The sequence below is a fragment of the Homo sapiens genome, chromosome X (assembly GCF_000001405.40).
Source record: "Homo sapiens chromosome X, GRCh38.p14 Primary Assembly".
NCBI classification, from domain to species: domain Eukaryota; kingdom Metazoa; phylum Chordata; class Mammalia; order Primates; family Hominidae; genus Homo; species Homo sapiens.
In genome coordinates this window covers 103,252,191-103,259,528 of record NC_000023.11, presented here as the reverse complement: position 1 = coordinate 103,259,528, position 7,338 = coordinate 103,252,191, and the positions used below count along the sequence as shown (strand labels likewise).

General features: G+C 43.0%; 1 protein-coding gene and 1 pseudogene across 2 annotated transcripts, besides 1 other annotated feature; both read left to right on the top strand.

Moving 5' to 3' along the window:
• Positions 211-959, top strand: LOC100420653 (guanosine monophosphate reductase pseudogene; annotated as a pseudogene).
• Positions 4,374-6,534, top strand: TCEAL8 (transcription elongation factor A like 8). Of its 2 annotated transcripts, NM_153333.3 has the most exons (3): positions 4,374-4,451; positions 4,852-4,924; positions 5,512-6,534. In NM_153333.3, the coding sequence occupies exon 3, from the start codon at positions 5,550-5,552 to the stop codon at positions 5,901-5,903; it is 354 nt and encodes a 117-aa protein (NP_699164.1). In that variant the 5' UTR covers positions 4,374-4,451; positions 4,852-4,924; positions 5,512-5,549; the 3' UTR covers positions 5,904-6,534. The 2 variants fall into 2 exon arrangements, with proteins under 2 accessions (NP_699164.1, NP_001006685.1); NM_001006684.2 differs by lacking the exon at positions 4,852-4,924.
• Positions 4,388-4,437: an enhancer, noted in NCBI's record as "active region_29816". NCBI's record gives its function as "activates an Ori minimal core promoter by ATAC-STARR-seq in GM12878 lymphoblastoid cells {active_cell/tissue: GM12878}" and the evidence as "EXISTENCE:reporter gene assay evidence [ECO:0000049][PMID:35858748]".

Genomic DNA, 7,338 nt, shown 5'->3' with positions numbered 1-7,338 from the left:
ATCTTGAGGATGCTGTTGCATATTAAAAGTCTAAGCAGTCAGGCATGATGGTCAGGCCTGTGATTCCAGCACTTTGGGAGGACAAGCGTGAGGATGGCTTGAGCCCAGCAGGTTAAGGCTGCAGCGAGTTGTTATCATGCCACTGCATTCCAGCTTGGGCAACAGTGTGAAACTCTGTCTCAGAAAAATAAGTCCAAGTAAACCCACTCAGGGACATTTGAAATGGCAGTAGTTATGACACAGCACTTTAGGTTCATAGCAATTCATAAGCATTATGTTCTGGATAACTAGAAACTTCACGTCACAATCATCTACAATGTATGCAGCATTTAGCTGTGAGTTCAGGCAGTGTACAGAATCATGTGGAAAAGATCATAAGTATCATACAAGCTGTGCTTCAAGTTATATTCACTTACCTAAATGTGGCCAGTGACTATTCTGGATATTTTGCAGAATATCCAGATACGTTGTGAAATGTATTGTTGCCAAACTTGAAAAACATACCATTATGTCAGGGAATGTGGTGACGGAGGATGGCAGAAGAGTTTCTTCTTTCTGGAGCACAAACAATCTAAGTAGATATAAGCCCAGGCTCTGTGTGTACTAGTTGCGCCAAAACGTTGGTGGACTACCCTTGGTTGTGCAAAGTGATGGAATGTGCTGAATCTGCTTTCATTCTGAAGGGGCAAATCATCTCAGATGGAGGCTGCTGGAGTGCACACCTTAGGATCTGGTAGCTAAAACTTTGGATCTGGGGAAGACTTTGCTATGTAAGGAGTGATGCTTTCAAGCCGTACAGATCATGCTAAAGAAGTGATAGATAAGAATGGTCAGCTCAAGTTCTATGGGATGACCTTTGAAAGAGCAATGAAAAAAAATGCAGGAGGAGTTGCTAAATATAGAGTATCAGAACACAAGACTATGGAAGGAACATAGAAAACAATATTCTGGATACTATAGTCTTATATAAGAGCTTTCTGGATACTCAAATGGTAAAATGCTGACTGCTTTCTCCTCCTCTCACATAACCTGAAGGACTTTGGACTTTGGAACTATCTCTAGTGCTCTCTTGGTGCACAAAAACAGGACATTGATTGGCTCAGAGGCCCAGGGTTTCTACTCTCCAGAATTCATATCCTTATTGTTAAAATTAATGTGTACACCTTTTTCTTTCCTTTTTAAAAAGATAGTTTTTACTTCAGTAGAATGCTATTTTCAAAAATTTACTTATATTTAAAATCTACTCTGATTGACTTAATTTCAAAGGTAGCTGAGTGTTGTATTGACACACTGAAATTGCCCCGGAACAAGGATGAAGGTGAAGGCCTGTATCACCTGGCTCTTTGTCAGGTGTGTACCAGTGAGCTAACTAATCTCTACTGTGAGTATTTAGGAAGACAAGGTCAATAACCTTTGCCAATAGCTCCATAAACATGGTATTAATATTGCTGTGGCTATATGTAAAGCAGAATAAGTAAAGGAGAGTACAATGAAACTTCTGCTTCAATTTTGTGCAAGCAAAATGAAGTTTGTCTGTGAGCCAAATGGCAAACAGCTCTTTCTGAGACCCTGAGATTTCTGAGAGACCCACTGTTTAACATTACTAGAGCCACTAAAGAAGCGTAATAGCTGGAGCCTGATCCTTGCTCCCTACCCTCAACTCACATCTGACCATCTTCCTGGTTAGATACCCTCCACCCCCAACACACACACACACACACACACACACACACACACACACGGAAAGGTACAAGGTAACCTTTGTTAAGGGTTACACGAAGGGTGCAGATTTCATGTGCAGCAATGACAGAGGAGGGAGAGATCACTTCCAGCTTCAGAGGCTGGGTGATTAGGTCTTGACCTCTAAGAATGAGCAGCACCAGGATCTAGGAGGAAGAGGAGGGCAATCAGGAACAAGATAATGACGAACAAGGACAAAGAGAGAAGTATAAGGCATGCTTGGGCACAGTGACTAAGGGTTGTTTATTATTATTAGTTTTTAATTTTTAATTTGATCTCACTGCTTCTGTAGACAATGAAGTAAGGGTTTATTTTGGATGGGGCAGAGAAGGAGATGATGAGGCTAGAAACATGTCCTGAGGTTCAATTCTGATGGAGGCTGAATGTCAAGATAAGGAGTATAGGATTTACTTGGTGAGTGGTGCGGTTACCATCCAGGGTCACTGAGCAGGAGAATGACTGTTGAAAGCAGGGACAAGGTAATGTGTAAGGTGGATTAAAGGGAGAGAGGGAGGCGCTGGAGGCAGGAAGTCCAGAAGTGAAGCAATGGCCTAAATCTGTTCATGAATGTTTACAGCAGTTCTTTTCATAATTGCTTAGAGCTGGGAATAACTCAAATGTCCTTCAGCAGGTGAATGAATAAGCAAACTGTGGAATAGCTAAATAACAGAATACTACTCAGCAAAAAAGAGAATAAACTATTGATACATGCAACAACTCAAATGGATGTCCAGGGCATTATGCTGAGTGAAAGAAGCCAGTCCCAAAAGAAGCCAGTGCACAAAAATTGAAAAATGAAATCATTTACATAATATTCTGAATAAGACAAAAGTGTAGTAATGGGGAATATATTAGTGGTTGCCAGAGTTTAGGGAAGGCAGTCAAATAGGACTACAAGAGACAGCATGCAGGAGTTTCTGGGGGTGATTGAACTGTATTCTGATTGCAGTGGTGGTTAAACAAATCTATACATTGGTTAAACTTCATAGAAGTGTACACACACACAAAGTCCATTTTGCTGCTGATGATTTTTCTTTTAAAAGATCAGAGTTGTTCCTCACTAAATGGTTACATTTAAAAGAGTGGAAACATTTGGTGATAGGCAATGATTAAATCTTTATAATTTGCTAGTTATATTTATATTAAAAGCTCTCTCTCAAACAATAGAACATTTATCCCTCAAGTGTGGAAGAAATTTGTCATGCTTCAACTATAAATCATTAAGTCCAAAAAATATTTATTTTTTCCAAACCTTCTTTTCTCTTCTCTGGTGGGTGTTCTTGTTGGCTAAGGCATCCTGCTGTGACCACCCTAGACAAAAGACCCCCTCTGTCTTCTTCTGACTCTCCAGCTGGCTCCATTGGCCAGAATGCCACTCCAGGCACCACCATCCTTCCAAGTACCAGTGGATTCTGAGTTGCAGGGATATCAGTTTCCTGTTTAATATTATTTTTTACAGCAATGTTGTTCTCTTTGCTTTCTAATCATAACAATTATGCATGTCAATAGTTCTTTTAATGGGACACAGTGGATGATACCAGACTATCTCAAGAGTGCCATGAATGAAAATGCCATGCAAAGAAGCCTCAAGCCTGATGGTGAGATACAGAGAATTCTCTTTTCTGAGTGTTTCATGAGTGTATGAGTTATTTCCCAACAACGAAATGTTTTCCAAGAAACATACTACTTTGAGTTCCAAAAGAATTTTACTCAGTGGAAAGCAGGCTTTTCTGTGGACTTATCTGATTAACAAGATACTGAATCCTATAGAGGAAATGGGGAGGAAGTCTGTCTGAAGCCTCCAAGTGAAACCTTAGTGGATGCCACCAGTGGTCATCAATGAAAAAGATCAGACATCCAACACTTGATAACTTGAGTTCTGCCAGAAATAGAAAGAGTAGTAGATTACCTATACAAAATTGCTAACAAGAGAAAACTAGGCCTCCTTCCACACATTAATTTGGGAGTCAATTTTTTAAGTGCTGTTTGGTAAGATTTTAAAAAATTCTAACACATCAATATGTTGTGAATATTGTCATTTCATTTCCAGCCATTAGAAAACTTTTCCAAAGTCTTACACATTGATATAACTAATTTGTCCTTCATATTAAGTGTTACATATTGCTTATGAGGCATCCGTTTTCTGATACCATTTTTAAAAGTATGCTGATTGCTGAAAACATAGAACACAACAGAAAACTATTCAAGAGGATTAGTCAAATCCTCCACTTTCAACCTTAGATTCTTTTCCAGCCCCCTCTTCCCGATCTACCACCTTTGCCCATTTCAATGCTGGATAGGATTCCAGGGGAAATGGTGGACTGTAGGGGTCTTGGAGGAGGGGAGGTGGGAGTATTGGGAGCAGAAGAAAGAGATGATTCCTCAAAGAAGGAGAAATGGTCGATTACCCCTAAAAGGCTGATCCTCCTGGTAATCTGAGAAAGGCGAATAAATACTCCAGGGCGAAGATAACAGTTTATTGTCTCCGATTGGCAAATACGAAAAAAGATTGACAGTATCAAGTGGAGGGAACGCAGCGGGCGGGCTGCAGTGTTAATGGGAGGGGTAACTGGGGACTCGAGCTCAGTGATGACGCGACTCTCACGTGACCAGGAGTCGACGTGTGCAGAAGTCCTTATAGTCCAGGGCCTGTTTCCCTGTAGCAGCTCCTTATTGCTGGAGAAGGAGAAAAGTGCCCAAGATCCTTTCAGGTTAGTATAAACGTGGGCGCTGACTTGGAGACCCTGGGGTCGAGGAGGCCGAGAGCAGAAAGCAAGCGGGGCCGGCACTGCTTTCCCCACTTCTGTTCCGCCAAACTCCCATTTTGTGCAGGAAATTTGGGGCTGTTTGGTGGGGGATGGCGGGTGGAGAGAGAGAAGGGTAGCTAATTAAGGGTCCTGAGAGAGAGACATAGAAACTGTTTGGAAGAAACTTGCTTTTCCTACTCCCTGCTTGCAGAAAAACGGTGGGCACGGAGGAGGGCGGGGTTGCCATAAAAGGAGGGCGAGGATGAGGACATGGGAAACTTTACACCAACATGGCCTAGAATCATGAAAGGGACCCGTGATCCAGGTACTAGTCTGCTCACCAAACACTCCCATCTGTCTGCAGGATATTTGGTTTTTTGGGCGCGACACAAATCGAGGTGAGGGAAGAGAGAGGAAAATCCCCTGAATCCCTGCAGGTCAGTTTTTGTAAAGGTGCAATTGCTTCAGGTCTCTTCGGGTGGGGGTGGAAGTGTGAGTGACACCAAAGCACATCCTGGGGTCGCAGCAGCCCCTCCCCATCCGGATTAAGTGCCAGAGGCCGGTGCCGAGCCTGCAGCGGAAATGAGGCGGGGGAGGAGGAGGCTTAAGAGACGCTGAAGGGGGAGGGGAGGCCAGAGACTGGACCAGCCGTCTCAGGTGAGAGGCTGGAGGTTGAGAGGGCCTGGGAAAGTCTGAAGGGCGGGAGTGTTGGAGACCAGAGGCGGGAGAAGGGTTAATTGCTTCCGTACTGCTCCCATTTCAGTATTAGGAGAGGCTTGTAGCAGGGCCTGCTGGGAAGATGGTGGGCAGGAGCAGGAGGAGAAAGATGGAGCTGGAACGAAAGGGGGCGCGAAGGGAGGTGGAGTCAGGGGAGTTCTGAGCCTGAGGATCCAGCTTTCTCTAGTTGGAAAACTTTTGACAATTAGGGTACTGAGTCAAAAAAGGCCAGTCGCTATGGGACCCCATACTCTGACTGCTGGTCTGTTTGCCTGGAATCTAGTAGTTTTGTTTCCTTGTTTTCTAGGATTAATTTATTCAAAAAGGAAATAAAAAATACTCAATATGCAAAAGTCTTGTGAAGAAAATGAGGGAAAACCACAGAACATGCCAAAGGCCGAGGAAGATCGCCCTTTGGAGGATGTACCACAGGAGGCAGAAGGAAATCCTCAACCTTCCGAAGAAGGCGTAAGCCAGGAAGCAGAAGGAAACCCCAGAGGAGGGCCGAATCAGCCTGGCCAGGGATTTAAAGAGGACACACCCGTTAGGCATTTGGACCCTGAAGAAATGATAAGAGGAGTAGATGAGCTTGAAAGGCTTAGGGAAGAGATAAGAAGAGTAAGAAACAAGTTTGTGATGATGCATTGGAAGCAAAGACATTCACGCAGCCGTCCTTATCCTGTGTGCTTTAGGCCTTGAATTCATTTTTGCCTAATATTAAAATCTGGCCCCAGCTTTCTTTCTGTTAGCATTTTCTGATGTATCTTTGACCTCCATTTTACTTTTAATCATCTGATGAAATTTTGTTTTAGGTAATTTCCTTGGTACCAGCATCTCATTGGATTTTGGATTTTGACCCATTTTCCAGGTCTATTTTTCAATTGGAAACTTTCACACATTTGCATGGGAATATGTTCATTCCATGTTGTAAAGTAAAACATAACAGGTTATGGCAAAGCAGCATATTTAATATCAGCTCACATATGTAGGATAAAATTCCAAACTTTGTGTGTGTGCGTGTGTGTATACATACATCCATATAACATATATCACAAACTTAACCAAGCTTATTTCTGTGTGGTGTGAAATTTTATTTGTTTTCTTCTTTTTGTTCTTTTTGCTTATATGTACTTTTTAATGAACACGTGTCTCACACACAAAAAGAATTAAGGATTTTTTTTACAAGTAAGAGTCAAATAATTTGCAACCAGCTTATGAGGGCAATGGGGGCACCTAAACTCTTGATGAAAGAACTTTAAAAAGAAATGTAAACCTCAAATTACCTCTGGATCTCTTAGCCAGAGGAATAAACTGGCAATTATTACAGATACACACGTTTAAGACTCAGTCTTTTCATGGGGAAAATATTTGCTTCACAGGGCTGCAGTGGGGAAGAAATGAGGCAGTAACAGCTGTGCTCAGTGAGATCTTGTTCCCACCTGTGCATACGGAATCCCAACCCACTATAGAAGCACCAATATTTAAGGGAGGGCCTGGCATGATGCAACTTGTACTCAGGATCAAGTCCAGTAGGCAGAGGTGGGGGCTTACCTATCAGTCCTCTGCTATTGAACCCTGTCTCTTCCCCTGGTTCCTGCCATGCCTGCCCAACACTGCTGCCTCTTCTGCTGAGTGCTGTGCTCCCTGCTGGCCCCACTACTGCTGATGCACTGCAGTCCTTGAGGGCCAAAACCCCACCGAGTTCCCTGGAGTCCTCAGTAGGTTGAACTTTCACTGTCTTCTAAAGCTTCTCTCTGCTTTATAGTGACACTTAACACAGGTGGGACTTCTCTAGGGTTGCTTGGGCCACAAGGTCTTTCAGAGCCCTTAGCAAAATAACCCTTCTGTTTTCAATCACAAGACCCTTCTTCTCCATAGGAGTCAGATGTGATGACTCCATTTGGGATTTGGACTGGGGTATAAGTTTGAGTCAAAGACCTGTTGTAATCACAGTTTTTGCTCTAAGTCTAAGGAATGAGGTTTTGTCCTCGTGGGATGATCTCTTCCTGAAGGCTCCTGGGCAGGCCTGACTTACTGGTTCGGAAGACTGCTGGGGAACATATATAAATTGCACAAAGTGATGCAGGGAACAGATCTAAGGAACAGTCCCCTTAATTCCATCTCTTCTGTTGAC